This window comes from Homo sapiens, chromosome 22 (assembly GCF_000001405.40).
Source record: "Homo sapiens chromosome 22, GRCh38.p14 Primary Assembly".
NCBI lineage: Eukaryota > Metazoa > Chordata > Mammalia > Primates > Hominidae > Homo > Homo sapiens.
Genome location: NC_000022.11, coordinates 19,618,722 through 19,639,407, shown reverse-complemented (window position 1 = coordinate 19,639,407; position 20,686 = coordinate 19,618,722). Strand labels below are relative to the sequence as shown.

The following is a 20,686-nucleotide window of genomic DNA, read 5'->3' as shown; positions in this document are numbered from 1 at the left end:
TATCAAAACATCATAACATATAAACAGCATGATTATGCCAGGTGCAGTGGCTCATGCCTATAATTCAAGCACTTTTCAAGGCCGAGATGGGAGGATTACTTGAGGTCAGGAGTTCGAGACCAGCCTGGGCAACAAAGTGAGACCTCATCTCTACTAAAAATAGAAAATTAGTTGGGCGTGGTGGTATGCACCTGTAGTCCCAGCTACTCTGGAGGCTAAGTCAGGAGAATTACTTGAGCCCGGGAGTTTGAGGCTGCAGTGAGCTGTGATCGTGCCACTGCACTCCAGCCTGTGTGACAAAGTGAGACCCTTGTCTCAAAAAGAAAAATAAAAGTCATGATTAGTGCTCACTGGCCACCAGTCCACAGCATCTGTCTGAGCACCCTGGGAGTGCCCAGGGAATGTTTCTAAACCCTCAAGGGTAACACGTGTGAACAACTTGAAAATCTTTACTAGCAGGCCATTGTGCAGACAGATGATCTCTGATGTCGGCTGAACCAGCTCCTGGGCAGACAATCCCTGTCCATTTGACTCAGGCCACCTTGCCTCAGCTTTCTGGGCCTCGAGACCCAAAGTCCACGCACCACATATTTTAATTCATTTCCCTGTTAACAGAACTCCACTCACTGCCTCTGTGAACCTTGCGCCCCCCCTCCCCCAGCCCTGCCCTGCCTTGCACCCCATCAGCACCTTCCGGCTTCCTGGAGGCCTGGGGCCTTGCAGTGCCTCCTCCCGCACATTTCACTGAAGAGGGACTTGCTGGGTTGTGGGCTCCTGAAGACACCCCTGCAGGGAGAGGAGACTCTGGAACTCACCAAGGCCGTGGGCAGTCTCCTGGCTGAGCATGAGGTCTGCTCCAAGCTGGAAAAGCCTTGGCCAGCACAGCACCCTGGGTAGGAACTATTCCATGCCTGCCATTTGTATGTTAGGAGAATCACAAGGTCATCACCTGGCATGCTTAGGTTGAAAAAGAATAACTGCAAAGGGAAGAGGTTAGGAAAAGACCTACTAGAAGTGCTATGTCACCTTCCCATATTCAAGAGCAGGTGCCTGAGATTCTGCTAATTCATGGAGCAAGGAGCCTGAGACCCAGCCCATGCAGGATGCTGGTCCAGATGTCCCTGACTGAGTGCCAGAGCGAACACTGGCACGCTGCAGCTCCTGGCCACTGCCCATGGCTCCTACTCACTGCCTGGGGCCCCTGGCCACTGCCTGGGCTTCCTGTCCACTGCCCAGGGCTCTTGGCTGCTTCCCAGGCCCCCTGACCACTGCCTGGGGCTCCTCCTCACTGCCCTGGGCTCCTGACCACTGCCTGGGGCTCCTCCTCACTGCCCAGGGCTCCTGACCACTGCCTGGGGGTCCTGCGCACTGCCTGGGGCTCCTTTTGTGCCTCCTGGAAGAGCAAAGTCATTGCTTTTGTTACAAGTTCATTGTAGTCACAGAGGTTCCCATTTTTTTCAGAACTTTCTTCTGGATGCAGACACAGTGCTCTTCCTTCCCTGGGGTCCCTCGGGCCCTTCCCCACACATGCTCTGCCGGCATGGCTGAGGGTGCACAGGATGCAGAGCTGAGTGAAATGCACCCCCTGCCTTTGAGGTGCTGAACGTGGCAGAGAATCTCCCCCCCCACCCCCACGGTGCAGATGCTGCATGGGAGGACAGACATGGCACATGGCTGTCTGGCCCAAGACAAGGCCGTGGATGAGGCCTAGGAGAGAAGAGGTAGGGAGGGCATCGAGCTCGGCTTTGCAGACCAAGCAGGGTCTCACCGGAGAGCACGTGGGGCAGGAGGGAGTCAGCCTGGCCCTGTGGCCTCAATCTCAATTCTGTTCAGGAGCCCTCTGCTTAGCACAGCTCAGGGGTGTCAGGTTCGGGCCTCCACCCAGTTCGGGTGACCCCTGTCCCCTGCCAGTGACTGCTGAGGACACAGTTCTGTGATTCAGTCCTGTGCAAGCCATAGGGAAGCCTACCACGGGGCTTCTAGAATGTACTCTCTATTGACGAAGAGAGCCATGGGAAGAGATGGCCTCTTCTTCCTGGGACACCATCACATCTGGTGTGAAGACTGAAATGGCAGCTGAGGAAAGCCAGCTGAGGATGGCAGAGCACAGATACGAAGATACTCTTGATGTCGTCATGGGTCCAAAGAGTCAGGGGCCTCCCACCCTGGGCTTCCCCAATATGAGGCCTAAACGCCTTTGCTGTGTGAGCAAGGGAGGCGAGGTTCTTCCTGCTGCCATGGGCAGCCAAGCCTATACAGCAGACATGAGAAACAGATTTCCTGAGGCCAGATCACAGGTTGTGCAGGGGTGTGGCTAGGCACGGAAGCATGAAGTAGGGCAAGGTGGGAGGGACCCAGAAAGACCTGGGATCATGCTCTTTGGGAATCAGGACCCACAGAGGGCTGCTCGGGGCTGGCCTGAGCAGCGGCTCAGGTGGGAGGACGCTTAGAGACCTGGGGCTGTGGGGTCAGAGGTCACAGAGAGCAGGGACAGGATATAGGAACTGAAGGTGGCCTTGAACTCCCGGGGTAGAGCCTGGATGTGCATGGACAGAGGAACGGGGCCCAGGGCATCCTTCTAAGGCTGATGCTTGAGTCGGTTCGTAGGTGAAAGAGATTTAAGATGCGAGAGATGAGGCAAGGGAGGCCGGTGTTTGTGGGGCGAGGCTCACGGAGAAGGGACTGGCCTGGGTTCTCTTTCACTGGACCCGAAGCTGCCAGAGGGATCCGGTGAAGAAGGGAGGAAGCTTGGTCCTTCACTCTTTCCTGGGCATCTGCCGCATGCCGAACCCTGTTCTAGAGGAAGGGTCCGGAACTGTTTTCTGTGCGGGGCCAGAGAGAATATGTTTCAGACCTTGCAGGAGAAGAGCCAAAACTGGAGATACCATGTAGGTACTTACATCACAAGAGACAAACACATTTCCACACAATTTTTATTGATGAAATTCAAATATAATAAGAGTACAGTTTTTCATAAGATAGGTCTACTAATGAGAAGAATGGAATTGTTTTTAATTAAGTTATTTAAATTGTGGTAGAATACGCATAACATTCACCACTCTGACCATTTCTAAGCATGCAGTTCAGGGGCAATAAGTGCATTCACATTCGGCTCTCACCACACCCACCTCCAGAGCTTTGTCATTGTGTAAAACCGAGACTGTCCCATTAGATGCCAATGCTCCATCCCCACCTCCCCAGCCCCTGGCAACCACCGTTCTGCTTTCTGTCTCTATGGGTTTGACCACACATGGCACCTCATATAAATGGAATCATACGGTATTTGTCTTTTGTGTGATTGGCTTATTTCACTGAGCATAATGACCTCAAGGTTCATCAATATTAGGGCATGTATCAGAATTCCTTTCCTTTTTGAGGCTAAATTTTCCAGTGTATGTATAAACCACACTTCGTTCATCTGTTCTTCTGTTGACTGACACTTAGGTTGCTCCTCCCCAAGCAACCCAGGTTAGGTTGGCTGTTGTGAATGATGCTGCTGTGAACATGGGTGTGCAGGTACCTCCTGGAGACCTTGCTTTTCAAACCTTTCCGGCATACTGACAAATAAAACTGCTGGATCACGTGGTCATTCTAGTTTATTTATTTTTTTGAAACAGGGTCTTGCTGTCACCCAGGCTGGAGTGCAGTGGTACAATCATGGCTCACTGCAAAATTGAACCCCTTGGCTCAAGTGATCCTGTTGCCTCAGCCTCCTGAGTAGCCAGGACCACAGGTGCATATCACCTTGTCTGGCTAATTTTTTTTTTTTCTTTTGTAGAGACAGGGTCTCACTATATTACCCAGGCTGGTCTTGAACTCCTGGCCTCAAGTGATCCTCCCGCCTCAGCCTCCCAAAGTGGTAGGATTACAGGTGTGAGCCACCTTGCCTGGCCCTATTTTTAATTTTTTGAGGAATCCCCATACTGTACCATTTTGCATTCCCATGAACAGTGCACAAGGGTTCTAATTTCCCACTACCTCATCAACACTTGTTATCCTTGGAATTCCTCTTGTGTGCACAGGAGAAACTTTTTGCTTAATCAAGATTCAAAACTAGTGTTCCCTGTCATCAAGTTGAAATGTTCTTCTGTTAGCGCTGGTCTGTAGTGAGATTTTACGTGTTTCTCTTTTCTTTATGCTCAAAGATTTTCTTTCTTTTCAACTTCTATTTCTCTTAGGCCCTTGTCTATTTGCTCCTGTCTTTCTTGTTTAATATTCATCTCTGAAATGATATTTAAATATTCATTACAACCCTTTCCTAATTTCTTGCCATTCATTTTCAATTTTTTAAAAGTTTTAAGTTCAGAGAAATGTATGTATGTTGTCACGTATCTTGTATCAGTTTCTTGTTTAAAGTTTGTTTGGACATGATGATTAGGGCATAGTTTTCATCCATTTTACATTATTCGTCCTATTTTCTTTTTTCTTGTAATACACTTATAATCCTTTGCATAGGATTTGACCTTGAAATTTGCGTCCTTAAACTTAAAGGAGGGTGCCCCTTCTCTGCGGCCTGCCAGCATCTGTTGCGCTCCTCTGCTCGTTCTGCAGTCCGCCGTCTCCTTCTCCTTGCGTCCTCGTTCTCCTCTGCTTGGTGTTATCTTCCCCTCCCCATCCCGCTGCCATGTCCCCCAGTCTCCCCCAGCACTCCCCCCACCACACATGCCAACCCCTCATGGATTCGCCCCGAGGCCGCGGCCTCCCCTCACTAGGTTGTAAATTCCAACATGGGCTTTGGTTTCACTACCTGGGTTCTGGTTGCCCCCTCTATTTTTATAGAGAATTCAGGGGAAATCAAAATCAAAATCAATAACTTCCTCACCCTGCTCACCTTGTCAGAAGTTCCTCTTGCTTTCAAAAGGCTGTGCCCCTCCTCTGGGAAGCCCGGGGCTTAGGTCTTTAGTCTTTGGGATCGGCTGGGCTCCCGGGCCTGCAGCGGAACCTCTTCCCCTTGGTTTCCTGAGCTAGGAATGGTTGTGTGCCCGATGCCACTGCCTGAGGGTGCACGCAGAAAGCGCTGGGCGTTTGGAAGCTGGCAAGGGCCATTAAGTTTTGCTCACCACTGCCATTCAGTCATGATTTATCTACAAATACTGGCTCCTGAAGGACAGAATCCGTGTGTGTTAGTCTGCTGGGGCTGCCATGATGAAGTACCACAGGCTGGGCGCCTTAAACAACAGACACCTACTCCTTGCAGTCCTGGAGGCTGGAAGGGTTGGTCCTTCTCAGGCCTCTCTCCCTGGCTTGTCAATGGCCGTTCTCTCCCTGCGTTCTCACGGGGTCTTTCCTTTTCCTCTGTGCCTGTCTGGGTCCTAATCTCTTCTTCTCCTTCTTTGAGACAGGGTTTTGCTCTGTCATCCAGGCTGCAGCACAGTCGCATGATCGTAGCTCACTGCAGGGCTCAAATGATCCTCCCACCTCTGCCTCCCAAGTAGCTGGGACTACAGGCATAGTCCCAGGCTAATTTTTGAATTTTTTGTAGAGACAGGGTCTTGCTATATTGCCCAGGCTGGTCTTGAATTCCTGGGCTCAAGTGACCCTGCTACCTCAGCCTTCTGAGTAGCTGTGACTACAGATATACAAGACCACACCTGGCTAACTTTTTTTTGGTAGAAATGGGATCTCACTCTGCTGTTCAGGCTAGTCTCAAACTCCTGGGCTCAAGCGATCCTCCCATTTTGGCCTCCCAAAGCACTGGGATTATAGGCCTAATCTCTTCTTCTTATAAGAACACTTGCCATGACTTCTGGTGTGTGTTGCCAAGGTGCGGGCCTGGTGGGCCACAGGGGCAACATTATTGCCATCGTCCTCTCCCTCTGTCCCGGGGGTCGAGATGTCAGGACTCAGCTCTCCAGAGACGGAGGGCTGTCGTAACCTACTTGGGCTACTGGACAATGAGGAGATTCATGGCCCTGTGCAGCACCGTCACCAATTGCCTGGTGCAGCCCAAAGACCACCAATGTAAGGGCAGACCTGTGCCATGGAACACAGCCACTCCTTCCCAAGCCTCATGCTGACCCCAGGTCACTGGAGCCTGGGAGTGGAGGGGGTTCGGGGCCTAGAACCCAGTTAGTCTCAGACCCCGCTTAGGCAGAATCCTGGGGAATCCCTGCCACCATGGCAGATCCACTGCTCTGAAACTGATACGGAAATGCTGAGAAGGGAGAAGCATGGTCCCTTTAAATGATACGGAAGGGGGTAAGGGAAGTGCCAAGGGAAGTGCGGGTATAGGAGGGCGTTTTCTGACCCTGCTACCTCAGCCTTCTCAGTAGCTGTGACTACAGGTACACAACACCACACCTGGTTAATTTTTTTGGTAGAAACAGGATCTTATTGTGTTGTCCAGGCTAGTCTCAAACTCCTGGGCTCAAGTGATCCTCCCACTTTGGCCTCCCAAAGCAAAGACCGTTTCTTACTAAGGCTCCACCCCCACGGACCTAAGTGAGGACAGGCATTTCCTGCCTTACATTTTCCAAGACCGCTCTTGCTGCCACGCCCCATCGGGCGCCTATAAAAACCCAGACCCTAGCAAGGCAGAGACAGGAGCGGCTGGACGTGGAGAGGAGCACACTGGCGGAGGAATCCACAAGTGGCCGGCTGGCGAGAGGAATGCGCCCACAGGCACAGGCATGCCACTGATCGCGGAATGACGTGGAGTTTGGCCGGGAGTCGGAAGAGTGTCTGGGCCACCCAGCTGCCCCACTCCAGGGGAAAACCATCTGTCTTCTGGTTCCCCCATCTGCTGAGAGCTACTTCCACTCAATAAAACCTTGCACCCATTATCCAAGCTCATGTGTGATCCGACTCTTCCGGTACACCAAGGCAAGAACCCGGGATACAGAAAGCCCTCTGTCCACGCGACAAGTAGAGGGTCTAATTGAGCTGGTTAACACAAGCCGCCTATAGACAGCAAAACTAAAAGAACAAACAGTAGCATACGCCAACTGGGGCTTCAGCTGTAAACATTCATCTCTAGACCCTGCTGTGGGGCCTGAGCCCCACAACCTGCCCATCTGTATGCCCCCTCTAGCGGTGGGAGAAGCAGGACACAGAAGAAACGAGCCACACCCCCATCCCACACCCTGCAAGGCGGACAAAGGAACCTTTCCCGTTTCGGAACCACTACACAGGCTTAGGCAGCTGGGCCCGCCAGGAGGTGGTGGCAGTGACAATGGCGCAGCTTCCGGGATTATCCATGTCATGGGCAGCACTTGCTGATTTGAGGATTTGGAGCACCTTTCATGTAATGTTAGTGGACAGTCCAAGGGCAGAACTTCTGAGGCGTAAAAACGTCCACCTTTCTGGTCACATTTAAGTACTTGGCAACACCAGGGGGTGGTTGTTATACCTCCAGTTACTAAAAAACACAGTCTTATTTAGCGTATAAAAGCAATCACAGCCAAAATTGAAGGAAACACCAGAGCCAGTTACAAAGACAGAGGACATCCAGCTCTTTCGACAGCAGGCAAAAGATTAAAAAGCTGAAAAGGTTGATTTTCATTGCCTGGGAGAATTCTGTCACCGGGTCTTTGGACTTCTTAATTCTCACAATTCTTTCCTGGGACCACCTCAAGATGAATGGGAACCACAGCATGATGTCCAGCTTAGATTCTATTACAACAAGTCAGAACAAAACGTGATAGACTCAGCTTAGATTCTATTACAACAAGTCAGAACAAAACGTGATAGACTGGCTGGGTGTGGTGGCTCACACCAGCACTTTGGGAGGCTGAGGTGGGTGGATCACTTGAGGTCAGGAGTTTGAGACCAGCCTGGCCAACATGGTGAAACCCCATCTCTGCTAAAAATACAAAAATTAGCCAGGTGTGGTGGCACATGCCTGTGGTCCCAACTACTCGGAAGGCTGAGTCAGGGAATCACTTGAACCTGGGAGGCAGAGGCTGCAGTGCCCCGAGATCACGCCACTGCACTCCAGCCTGGACAACCAAGCAAGACTCTGTCTCAAAAAAAAAAAAAAAAGAGGTCAGGCGCGGTGACTCACGCCTGTAATCCCAGCACTTTGGGAGGCCGAGGCGGGCGGATCACGAGGTCAGGAGATCAACACCATCTTGGCTAACGCAATGAAACACCGTCTCTACTAAAAATACAAACAATTAGCCGGGCGTGGTGGTGGGCACCTATAGTCCCCTACTGGGAAGGCTAAGGCAGGAGAATGGCGTGAACCCGGGAGGTGGAGCTTGCAGTGAGCCGAGATCATGCCACTGCACTCCAGCCTGGGCAACAGAGCGAGACTCCGTCAAAAAAAAAAAAAAAAAAGGGATGGACTACCATGGGACAGAAATCATGAGTCTCCGTTTGCCGTCACTAGTAAAAGAAGAATTTCTTTTTCTCAGCCCAATGTAGAAATGTACTTCTTCTCTTCATGGGCTGGTGATGGTTGGAACTGCTGGGAACTGCTGGGACATCGAGGGAACACTTGCTTGGGCATTTTTGAACAAAGTTTTGGGCTCACCTGCTGCCCTTTTGTGGAGAATACTTGGAAAATCAAATTTATCAACCTGAGAATTGTTGGAGACAGTTCCCTTGCTCCTGGAATTACTGAAACCAGCTGTTACATTTGAACAAGGTGGTCTAGAGGCCTTTCATAATATAATCACCTTACATGGCACCAACACAGTGCAACATCACGTAAAGTAGGCATTGGTGGTGGAACTGGAGAACAAGCTTTATGTAGTGGAAATGAGGCACCGCTGAACAAACGAGAACTGGGTTTACCTGACCCCCTAAAGCACTGAGCACCGTCAGCCTAAAATATCTATACAGAAACACTTCCAAATACATCAGTAATGTCTAAGTGATTTCAGATGTGAGGATTGACCTATTTTAGTTGAAATAACTTTCTGAACTCTAGACTTAACATATTCTGTGAATACTTACCTATTTTTACCTGAGTCGCAGCAAATGTTCTGAAATGTTCTGAAAGCTTAACACAAATAAATCTCACTTTAGATGTTATAGAAAAAAAGAAGAAGAAGAAGAAGACCCGTCATACGGGATCAGGGCCCACACTAATGACCTCATTTTAATTCATTCAGGTCTTTACAGACCCTGTCTCCAAATACAGCCACATTCTAAGGGAGCAGGGCTTAGGACTTCAACAAGTGAATTTGGGGGAACACAGTACAGCCCATAACAACGTTGTAATTCATTTCATATGCTCGCAGCACCTAACACATAACACACATACACACATATATACCAAAACACGACACCTGTCTGCAAACCGCCCTTCCCCAGTGAGTGTCCTTGAGCAAGCTCGCCCACCCCCCGTCCTCATCTCTCCACTAGAGGGCAGCAAGCACCCATTAAAGAGGGCCCAGGCCTTTGCAAGGCGGCCACACTCAGCCACATTTTTGGTTGTTGCATATCACAAGCTGGAGGTTCTGAATTTTCTCTCTTGTTCCATGCCATGCTAATGCAACTTAAGGTCCCTGCAGGCCCCGCATCATTAACATGGGGTGGGGGCCCCTCTCTTGTCCTCAGTGAGGGGAGAGAACCTGGGGTCCCCAGGGTCCCCGTCTGTGAGTCCGTGGTCTGCACACACACCCTGCTGAACAGGCACTGTGTCTGCAGCTGGATGGGATCAGAGGTGCAGGAGAAATTCTACAAAGATTCAGAGAAGCCAGTGAACTCCAGTAGTCGTTTTACTGATTCCCTGCAATAAGACAGGGGAAGGGGCACCTCTGTTTCCTTTTCTCCTCCCATCCCAAATTTCTGGAGCCTCCAGCCTCCATTCTCCTCTCCAGCCAAGGGCTGTGAGGCGCTGCCTCTCTTTGGATGACTGCTCTGTGTAATGCTCGGAGTGCACTGATCGGTCACATGACAGTCGGGCAATTAGGAGACGCAGGAGAGTCCCCGGCCCCCACTATGATGCTTCTCCCTGCAGAATGCATCTTCTCCTCCCCTCACCACCCTCCTCAGCGGTGCTCTGCCAGGAGGACTACTGGAAACGAGCAGCCCTGGGCTCTCTGCTTCACAGCCAAGGGGGGACGTTGCCGGGTGGGAACCTTCAGCTCCTGTGCGGTGATATTCAATCCTGGTTCCAACAAGGGGCGGGTTTCCACCTTACACCATCAGGGCGCACACTGCTCCCATAAGAAAAGAGATCACCAGGGATTAAAAAATATAGGTAGAAGGAATAAGTTCTAGTATTTGAAAGTAGAGTAGGAAAGTTATAGTTAACGATAATGAATTGTGTATTTCTGGGGTTGTTTTGTTTTGTTTTGAGACGGAGTCTCACTCTGTTGCCCAGGCTGGAGTGCAGTGGCACAATCTCAGCTCACTGCAACCTCCGTCTCCCAGGTTCAAGAGATTCTCCTGCCTTAGCCTCCTGAGTAGCTGGGATTACAGGTGCCTGCCACTGCGCCCAGCTAATTTTTTGTATTTTTTAGTAGAGACGGGGTTTCACCATGTTGGCTAAGCTGGTCTCGAACTCCTGATCTCAGGTGATCCACCTGTCTCAGTCTCCCAAAGTGCTGGGATTACAGGCATGAGCCACCACGCCCGGACTGTATATTTCAAAATAACTAGAATTGGAATGTTCCCAACACAAAGAAAAAACAAATGTTTGAGGAGATGAATAACCCAACGACCCTGATTAGAACATTATAGATTATATACATGTATCAAAATATCATATGTGCCCCAAAATATGCACAATTCTGAAATATCAATAAAAAAGAAAAGAGATCTATTACACAGCAGGGTGACTACAGTCGATAATAATAAGGTGTCGAACATCAACAGACGAATGGGTGAAGCCAATGTGGTACAAATACACCGTGGAGTACTACGAAGCCATGAAAAAAGAGTGAGATCCTATCATTTGCAACAGCATGGATGGAATTGGAGATCATTATGTTAAGTGAAATAAGCCAGGCACAGAAAGACAAATTTTACTCATTTGTGGGAGCTGAAATTAAAATTCCCAAAGACACCTTTCACACGTCTGAAAGCCCCCTTCTAACCACTTCATTCACAGCAGCATCATTCTCAACAGCCAAAAGGAGGGACCCACCCAGTGTCTCTCCACGGATGAGTGGAAAAACAAAATGTGGTGTAAACCTGCCATGGAGTATCATTCCGCCTTTGACAGGAAGGAACTTCTGACACAGGCCACAATATGGATGAAACGACATTCTGCTGAGTAAAACCAACCAGACACAAAAGTTGCATGACTCCAATTATAAGAGTCGTCAAATTCCCAGAGACAGAAAGTAGAATCGTGGTTGCCAGGGGCTGGGAGAAGAAGACATGGGGAGTTTAATGGGCACAGAATTACAGTTTAGGAAGATGAAGACCTTCTGGAAATGGGCAGTGGTGCTGGTTGTACAACAGTGTTAATGTACTTAATACCACAGAACTGTACACTTTAAAATGGTTAGAAAGAATGGTAAATTTTGGCCGGGTGCGGTGGCTCACGCCTGTAATCCCAGCACTTTGGGAGGCCGAGGCGGGCGGATCAATAGGTCAGGAGATCAAGACCATTTTGGCTAACACAATGAAACCCCGTCTCTACTAAAAATACAAAAAATTAGCCAGGCGCGGTGGCGGGCGCCTATAGTCCCCTGCTCGGGAGGCTGACGCAGGAGAATGGCGTGAACACGGGAGGCGGAGCTTGCAGTGAGCCGAGAGAACGCCACTGCAGTCCCGCCTGGGCGAAAGAGCGAGACTCCGTCTGAAAAGAAAAGAAAAGAAAAGGAAGAATGGTAAATTTTATGTTATGTAGTTATGTATATTTTACCATGATTTAAAAAAATGACCACGAAAGTTACCCCTTCCAAATGGCAGCACTCCATCAGGAAGGGAGCTTCGAGGCCCAGGGGCTGGCATCAAACCACCCAGCTTGACAAGGGATTCTGCACCCTGGAAGAAGACACACGGCCGGCAGCAATGGTCCCAGGACTGGCGCACGCCATTGGGGAGCATCACGCCCAGGCGCAAGAGGGACAAGGCCTGGTGCCCTGGAGCCTCCTCAGCTCTGACCAGGCTTCCTTCTCCCAGAGACAGGGTGAAGCTGGCCTGGACACGGCCTGGGGTGCCCTCCATGACAGAGCGTTCACATACTTTCACGCTACAGGTTTGCTCCCGCCCCTGCCCCTTCCCCGTCAAAGTTCCTACAGCTGCCATGGGCTCTGCCGCGACCAAACAGAAGACCCAGCCCATAAGCCCATCTTGCCATCTGGCATCCTGCTCCAACACTGGGGCAAGGCAGAGTCTTGGCAAAGTGAAGCAGAAGACAGGCTTGGGGGATGGAGGAAGTAGACCCCATTTGCAGAGCCTGTGCTTTGCAAATGCTTCTCCCTGATGGCAGCTCTGGACTGTCAATCTGTACCTACATCCCTGTCCTAGGGCTTCCCCAAGGTCCCCATGGGTGGCATTCAGGGCACTCAGGAGCTTGGATGGGAGAAAAAGCATCTTTATTTTCACTAAGGTTTAGCATTTTCTCCATCTCTGAATGTAAGCGACACACATCAGCAGTTCTAAGGGGTCCACAGAGCTCATCAGGCTATGCAAGTCTCCATGGTGCCCCAAAAGGTTAAAGACTGCTATGCCTTAGAGCAGCGGTCCCCAGCCTTTTGGCACCAGGGACTGGTTTTGTGGAACACAATTTTTCCACAGACCGAGGGTGGAGTGGTGGTTTTGTGATGATTCAAGTGCATTACATTTTTATTGTGCACTTTACTTCTGTTATTATTATATTCTCATTATGACATCGTTATTACATTGTAATATATAATGAAATAACTATACAATTCACCATAATGTAGCATCAGTGGGAGCCCTGGGCTTGTTTTCCTGCAACTAGATGGTCCCATCTGGGGGCGATGGGAGACAGTGACAGATCAGCAGGCATTCGATTCTCGTGAGCACACAGCCTGGATCCCCCACATGCACAGTTCACAATAGGGTTTGTGCTCCTATGGGAATATAATGCCGCTGCTGATCTGATGGGAGGCAGAGTTCAGGGGGTAATTCAAGCAGTGAGCAGCTGTTACAGATGAAGCTTCATTTGCTTGCCTGCGCCTTACCTCCTACTGTGTGGCCCATTCCTGTGACCCCAGGGGTTGGGGACCCCTGCTCTAGAGCATTTGCAAGGAAACAGGAGGCTTGGAAAGGAGTGATTTTCCTAAACAGTGGGTCAGGAGATCAGCAGTGTGCACGCTCAGGTCAGTAGGATAGCAGACCCCAGGGAGGATGGGGCTGTAAGCCAAGAGGTACTCCAGGGAGGCAAGGTCCATTCCTGCAAATGCACCCCCCACGCAGGCTGTAGGGTCCAGGAGAGGAGGATGTCCAGGTGGTGGGAATGGGAACAAGCATGATCTTTCATCTGTGTTAAATTGATAGCAAGGGTGACTTTGCTCCATGCCAGCCAGGAGCAGGGGTCACCTGGTAGCAATAAGAACCTCCCTCCAAGACTCTTGGCCCTGGCCCAGGTGGCGGGAGGGAAGGCTGGAGGGCCATGAGACTGGTGGGCAGGGAAGAGGCCTGGCCTCCTCTGTGGCCAGGGCTGTTGGGGAAACACCTTCACCTGGGCAGCCTGAGATGATCACGGCAAGAGCTCCAGCTGCTCTCACCCTGGGCAGGGTCCCTGCACACACTGTATCTTTAGAGGTCCCTTCAGGACCCTGGTTTGCTGCCTCACAGTGTCATCAGAGCCAGGGGAGGACAGGAGAAGTGAGCACACCGTTGCTGGGAGGTGCATCCTGCCAAGCCCAGCCCGTGGCTCTGATGCCCACGGGCTCCAGCATGCAGTCCAGAGTGCAGAGGCTGTGTGCAGCAGGGGTGTGACAGGCCCCTGGGTGGGCTGACGGGAGGCCCCACCCACCCATACACACCTGGGGTGCTCGGGGGTGGGGGGTTGCTGGTAGGGTCCTGGCCTGAAGCCTGCGAGGCCTGGATGTCAGGCCAGGCTCTGGGGGTGGGCCGGGGATGCCTCTGGGCACCTGCTGCCGCCTCCATACACTACTGACTGTCTCATGTGGCCTCTGGCCATTGCCCTGCTGTCTCTGTTCCCGGAAAGTGGTCCCAATTCAGATCCCAAGAGAGGGTTCTTGGATCTCGAGGAAGAAAGAATTAGGGGCGAGTCCATAGAGTAAAGTGAAAGCAAGTTTATTAAGAAAGTGAAGGAATAAAGAATGGCTGCTCCATGGTCAGAGCAGCCCTGAGGGATGCTGGTTGCTTTTTTTTTTGTTTTTTGTTTTTTTTTAATTTGAGACGGAGTCTCGCTCTGTTGCCAGGCTGGAGTGCAGTGGCACGATCTCAGCTCACTGCAACCTCCACCTCCCGGGTTCAAGCAATTCCCCTACCTCAGCCTCCGGAGTAGCTGGGACTACAGGTGCGCACCACCATACCCAACTAATTTTTTCTGCATTTTAGTAGAGTTGGGTTTCACCATGTTGGCCAGGATGGTCTTGATCTCCTGACCTTGTGATCCGCCCGCCTCGGCCTCCCAAAGTGGTGGGATTACAGACGTGAGCCACCATGCCCGGCCTCGGTTGCTTATTTTTATGGTTTCTTCTTGATTATATGCTAAACAAGGGGTGGGTTATTCATGCCTCCCTTTTTTAGACCATACAGAGTAACTTCCTGACATTGCCATGGCATTTGTAAATTGTCAAATTGTTGACAGTTTGAGAGTGTAGCAGTGAGAATGACCAGAGGTCATTCTCATCACCATCTTGGTTTTGATGGCTTTTTAGCCTGCTTCTTTACTGCAACCTGTTTTAATCTGCAAGGTCTTTATGACCTGTATCTTGCAGCAACCTCCTATCTCATCCTGTGACTTAGAATGCCTAACCGGAGGGGCCAGGAGTGGTGGCTCACACCTGTAATCCCAGTACTTTCGGAGGCCACGGTGGGTGGATTACCTGAGGCCAGGAGTTCGAGACCAGCCTGGCCAACATGGCGAAACCCCGTCTCTACTAAAAATACAAAACTTAGCCAGGCGTGGTCATGCACACCTGTAGTCCCAGCTACTCAGGAGGCTAAGGTAGGAGAATTGCTTGAACCTGGGTGGTGGTAGTTGCAGTGAGCCAAGATCACGCCATTACACCCCAGCCTGGGAAACCGAGTGAGACTCCGTCTCAAAAAAAAAAAAAAAAAAAAAAAAAAAGACTGTCTGAGAATGCAGCCCAGTAAGTCTCAGCCTTATTTTACCTAGCCCCTATTCAAGATGGAGTTGCTCTGGTTCAAGTGCCTCTGACATCTCTGACATCTCTACTTTATAGGTAAAGACCTTGAGGGCTGTCTAGTGTTCCTAAGCACAAACAGGCTGTGATGAGCCGGATGTGGTGGCGTGTGCCTGTGGTCCCAGCTACTTGGGAGGCTGAGGTGGGCAATCACTTGAGCCCAGGAGGTCAAGGCTGCAGTGACCTGTGATCATGCCACTGCCCTCCAACCTGAGTGACAGAACAAGATCCCCATCTCTTAAAAAAAAAAAAAAAAGGCCGAGTGTGGTGGCTTACGCCTGTAATCCCAGCACTTTGGGAGGCTGAGGCGGGTGGATCATGAGGTTAAGAGTTTGAGACCATCCTGGCCGACATGGTGAAACCCTGTCTCTCCTAAAAATACAAAAATTAGCCGGGCGTGGTGGCAGGCACCTGTCATCCCAGCTGCTCGGGAGGCTGAGGCAGGAGAACCGCTTGAACCCGCCACTACACTCCAGCTTGGCAACAAAGCGAGACTCCATCTCAAAAAAAAAAAAGGCTGCAATGAACTGTATGCGGAAAATATGTGTGTTAGATGAGCTGCGTTCAGGCAAGAGTTATGGTGTTGCTGGTGGTGAATACATTAAAGAAGCAATAATATATATTAAAGTGTCTTTCAACAGAAACAGACACACAACAAGGTTATGTATGGATTAGTGAATGAAATGTTGCAAACAGAAGCTCTCACAAGCTTGTATTTCCCCTGGAGCAATGGTTCTGTACTTTCTGGTTAAAAGGTTTAAGATGAGACAGTTCTGAGCAATGATTCTAAATGTCTGCCACATCTCAGACAAGAAACACTTCTCCCTGGAGCACCAGAAAGCACTTAGGATAAGAGGCAGACCCATGTCTCTTCCCCAGGGACTCCTTTCTCCTCTGGAGTCCCTGGAGCACTATGCACACACAACACGCTGCGCTGCATCCCCTTCTCCCTTCCTCCAGCCTCCAGAACCCCCGAGTCCAAAGCCTTGGCTTCAGTGGTCTGTGCCCCAGCATGCCAGCTGGGCAGAGACATTTTTCCTCTTCTCTAAGAGTTAGGAGACAACGTCATTTTAACAAAAGCAGGACACCTGACTCCTTTAAGAGGGCTCGCTGACGACCATAACTACTGAAAATAAAGGAACGTTTCCATGTGAAAGATGCTACTTCCAGAGGAATTGCACTTGACCCCTGGCAGGTGGGGCTGCCAGAGCTGTCTCGGGAGGTCTGCGGGGGTGGGGGGCGCACACACACACACACACACACACACACACACACACACACACACACGGGTCAGATGGGGAGGAGCATGGGATGGGGCTGTCAGCAGGAAGGGTGTGCAGGGGGCAAAGGCGTGTTGTAGGGTCTGGGCTCCTCATCACTGGAGGGGCCTGGGCAGCCTTGGACGCCACCACTTCTGCTTCTGGGAGGTTACAGAGGGATTCCAATGCTGAGCCCCCAGAAGTGACTCAACCAGGCATCCGTTTCTCCAGTCATCATCCTCTGCTTTGGAATTAAACTCTCCCAGGCCTTAGTAAGCAAGAAGACAGCCCTGCAGGTGAACTTGAGGGTGAAGGGCAGGGAGGGTGGAGGGGTTGGTCCTGCCCCCTCCAGGTCCTTGAAGGCTCCAGCTGGAAGCTGCTGGGGCAGGGCCGACTCTCCTGGGAATGGGACCCCACCCCACCAGGTCCAGCCCTTCACTCCTTTTCCTTGCCTAAACTTTTTAACGCCTCTGCCTGGACTTCTCTCGGCCCGAAGATTCCCATCCAGTTCACTGCTATTGTGCGCTGAAAAGCATTTCAGTTCCCTATATGACGCTTTGCTACCCCAACCCTGACTTAGCAGCGCCGTAAGCCACTTCGTAATGTCACTTCTGCCTCTGGTTTCCCTGTTTCTGTTATGGGACCCAGCTGCCTCATAAATGCTTCGCCTGTGATCAGACACAGTTGGGGCTGCCAAGGGCTCTCACCCCAGCAGGGCCTCACCAAACCCTGCAGAGAGGACCCCAGGCATCCAAGAAGAGGCTGGGAAATGCCGAGTGCCACCACCCTGCCGACACCCCACGCTGGCTTCAGGGCTGCTCGGTGTGATTGGTGACACGGAAGGGTGGTCATGCAGCCACACACATCCCCATGGGAATCCGCGGCAGAGGAGGGCAGGCGGGGCACGGGTACATGAAACAGCAGCCTTGACCTTGACTGAGATCGTGGTGATTAAAAGGGCAATTGAAACAATGGGGGGAAAGCCAGAACCAGGGGTGCGAGAATAATCTATCAGGACTCTTACCAGAGCCTTCCTGAAGGGAAAAAGAAATCCAGTAAAAACAAACTCTCCTTCATGGTGGCAACAATGAAACAATCTCGCTTCTCTTGCTCTCAATTTTATTGGCCTCCAAAGTTTCTGTGTTTCTAAAGATTAGCCTTCCCTTGGGAAGTTAGTGGGGGGAAAATAAGCAAATATTAGTTTCCCTCTCGAGAAGTCATTCTTTCGAGCCAGTTTCCCCAGGAGCTCTACAGGGCACAGCTTGTGAAACCTCATTCCAGGCCTTCTCAACTCAAGTGGGGGGAAAGGATTAACAAATATCTTTGAATTCCAGCAAGACAAAACAGGAATGGCCTCAAGCCGGGCTTCCTCCTGCAGCCTCTCCAAGGCTCCTTCTGCCTGGCCCAGAGTCACGGAGGAAGAGCGCCCGTCTTCACGGGCTGCCCTGGCGCTGCATCAGATCCGCCAGGTGGGCCGGGGACAAATCCTGATTTTCACTTCTGATTAGTAATTGTGTGCGAGAGATGTTCCCAGCTAAAATAATATACAATAACTTCCCTAGAGAAAATATACACAGTCAATTTTTGGAATCACTTAACACAACCCTTCACCAAGTGAATGTACAATTGGAACAACATAACACGTTTCCCATGTGGAAGAGAAGGGCTGGTACACGTTGACGTCATCGTGGGAGAGACAAATGTGCCGGTTTTATTAACCCCAGGCCACACGTAGGTGAGCAGTGGGCCATTGTTATGCAACCATTCAGTATTATTTTTCCATAAATCAAGGTAACGCCTAATGAAGTCCGAGTCTTTAAATCAAGCAGCCTTTTCCTATTTGGAACATAAAGTTGGGCTGTTGCCAGGAGCTCCGGGAAGCAGAGGGCCACAAGTAGCGTTTCAATAAGGAACGTAAGTGCCCATTCACCGGCACCGGATGCAGGCTGGTGGGTCAAGCCCACTCGCCAATATTGTCAAGTCAGTCTTAGGGGAGCTTCGCATTAGCACTGACAGTGATGGACTGCAGCTGGGGCTCAAGAGCAGCCCATGCGCTTCTGCTGGGAGAGGGACGTGGGGAACAGGCAGCTGTTTTGGCCTCCCGGGGCTGCCATCACAAAGTGCCACTGGCTGGTGGCCTCACCGCAGACCTTTATTGTCTTATATTCTGCGGGCCGGAAGTCTGGGATCAAGGCGTGGGCAGGGTTATGTCTTCCGGGGACCTTCTCCCGGGCTTGTCGATGGCCGTCTTCTCGCCATGCCCTCAGAGGGTCATCCCTCTGGGCATACCTGTGTCCTAATCTCCTCTCCTTTTTCTTTCTTTATTTAGTTTTAGAGACAGGATCTTGCTGTGTTGCCCAGATTGGAGTGCAGTGGCACAATCATGGCTCACCGAAGCCCCACATTCCTAGTGCTCAAGCGATCCTCTTGCCTCAGCCTCCCAGGCTCCCAAGTAGCTGGGACTACGGGTGCACCTCACCATGCCTGGCTAATTTTTAAAATTTTTTGTAGAGATGGGGGTCTCACCATGTTGCTCAGGCTGGTCTCGAACATCTGGGCTTGAGCAATCCTCCTGCTTTGGCCTCCCAAACTGTTGGGAGCCACCTTGCTAGGCCCTAGTCTCCTTTTCTTATAGGACACCAGTCATACAAGAGTAGGGCCCACCCTCATGACCTCATTTTGAATGAATTACCTGTTTAAAGACCCTCTCTCAGCCAGGTGCAGTGGCTCAGGCCTGTAATCCCAACACTTTGGGAGGCCGAGGCAGGTAGATCACTTGAGGTCAGGAGTTCAAGACCAGCCTGGTGAAATCCCGTCTCTACTAAAAATACAAAAAATTAGCCAGGCGTGGTGGTGCGCACCTGTAGTCCCAGCTACTTAGGAGGCTGAGGCACAAGAATCTCTTGAACCCAGGTGGCAGAGGTTGCAGTGAGCTAAGATTGCACCACTGCACTCCAGCCTGGTCAACAGAGCAAGACTCCGTCTCAAAAAAGAAAGAAAGAAAAAGATCTATCCAAATACAGCCATATGGGGTTGGGACTGGGTGGTTAGGAGTTCAACATAGGAACTTGGGAGGGAGGCCATAAATCAGCCTATAACAGGGGAAGCACAGAAAAATCTTGGCATCATTTTGCTGTTGTAAAAGAAAATGGAAAGGAAGGAAGGAATAGATATTGGGTGATTCCCGGCTGTTTTCCCGCCATGACTCAGCTGGTGCAGCATCTCCATCAGGCCAGCCCAGGCACTCCAGCATGGCCTGACCCTTGGACGGACAGGTGTGAGGGTGTGAGGGATGGAGGTCTGCATCCAAGACACCCCCAGAGACCCCTGAGGTGAGTGTGTGTGCAAATGAGCTGGCCAAGGGGCTGGATTTGCATTCTTGATGTTTTCTGCAGAGACAGAGCAGGTGGAGGAAGTGGGAGGCAGCTGGTGGGGAAAAGCCAACAAGCTTAGCTTCATTTTCAGTTCTCTGCAGCGGGGCAGCTGCTTATCTGCTGGAGGCTCAGATCCTCCATCTCTAAGGTAATGATACCCTCATCTCACATGTCCTCGAGAGGATTAACTAACTACAGCATCGTCTGCCAGGAAAGCCCAACACAGAGCCTGCCTGGTCCACAGCGCCTGGGAGCTGTCATTGTCTGCCCTCTTCCCAGCATCCCAGACTCATGCTTTCATCCAGGGCTCTGGGTACAGGGAGAGGAGGTATGGGTGGCTGGAGTCAGAGACCTAGGCACAGCTTCCTGGTCACAGTGGATTTGCACTGGAAACAAGAATGTTCTGTACTCACTGCCTTTGCAGAGTTCACATCTCAACTATGAATGACAGTGACTGAAAAGGGGCTTGATCCAGCCCCGACATCTTCTGGGTGCACATTCCCCAACTTTCTTCCCACCACGGGGAGGAAGGAGTGGGAACCAAAGGCAAATAAGTATTAGAACAATGGCAATTCAATGTCTTTGAAGACTCGAAGTAGTTGGGTGACGGAGTCACAGCATACACAATTGTGCTGGGGCCCTGTGATGTCCTGGAGTGTGCTATGATTCACATCACCCTCTTCACGATCTAGAGATGGGCCACAGGGACATTACCACGCACCTCGCAGCCCAGAGGTCACTTTCAGGTACCACCAGGTGCCATCTGGAATGGGGATAAACATTTGGGGCCATCAGTTGGTTCAGGAGGCTGTGAGGTCACATGGAACAGACAGCATCGGAA

General features: G+C 51.0%; 1 pseudogene, besides 3 other annotated features; it reads left to right on the top strand.

Moving 5' to 3' along the window:
- On the top strand, positions 7,239-8,979 carry LOC100129254 (chromosome 3 open reading frame 38 pseudogene; annotated as a pseudogene).
- Positions 11,826-11,906: a transcriptional cis regulatory region, noted in NCBI's record as "candidate enhancer chr22.250 targeted for multiplex CRISPR interference". NCBI's record gives its function as "positively regulates DGCR2 gene expression with high confidence in K562 cells {active_cell/tissue: K562}" and the evidence as "EXISTENCE:mutant phenotype evidence [ECO:0000015][PMID:30612741]".
- Positions 18,316-19,077: an enhancer, noted in NCBI's record as "H3K4me1 hESC enhancer chr22:19607854-19608615 (GRCh37/hg19 assembly coordinates)". NCBI's record gives its function as "activates a minimal SCP1, AML or CMV promoter by ChIP-STARR-seq in primed H9 embryonic stem cells {active_cell/tissue: H9 hESC(primed)}" and the evidence as "EXISTENCE:reporter gene assay evidence [ECO:0000049][PMID:30033119]".
- Positions 19,428-19,722: a silencer, noted in NCBI's record as "tiled region #15144; HepG2 Repressive non-DNase unmatched - State 22:ReprW". NCBI's record gives its function as "represses a minimal TATA promoter and a strong SV40 promoter by Sharpr-MPRA in HepG2 cells {active_cell/tissue: HepG2}" and the evidence as "EXISTENCE:reporter gene assay evidence [ECO:0000049][PMID:27701403]".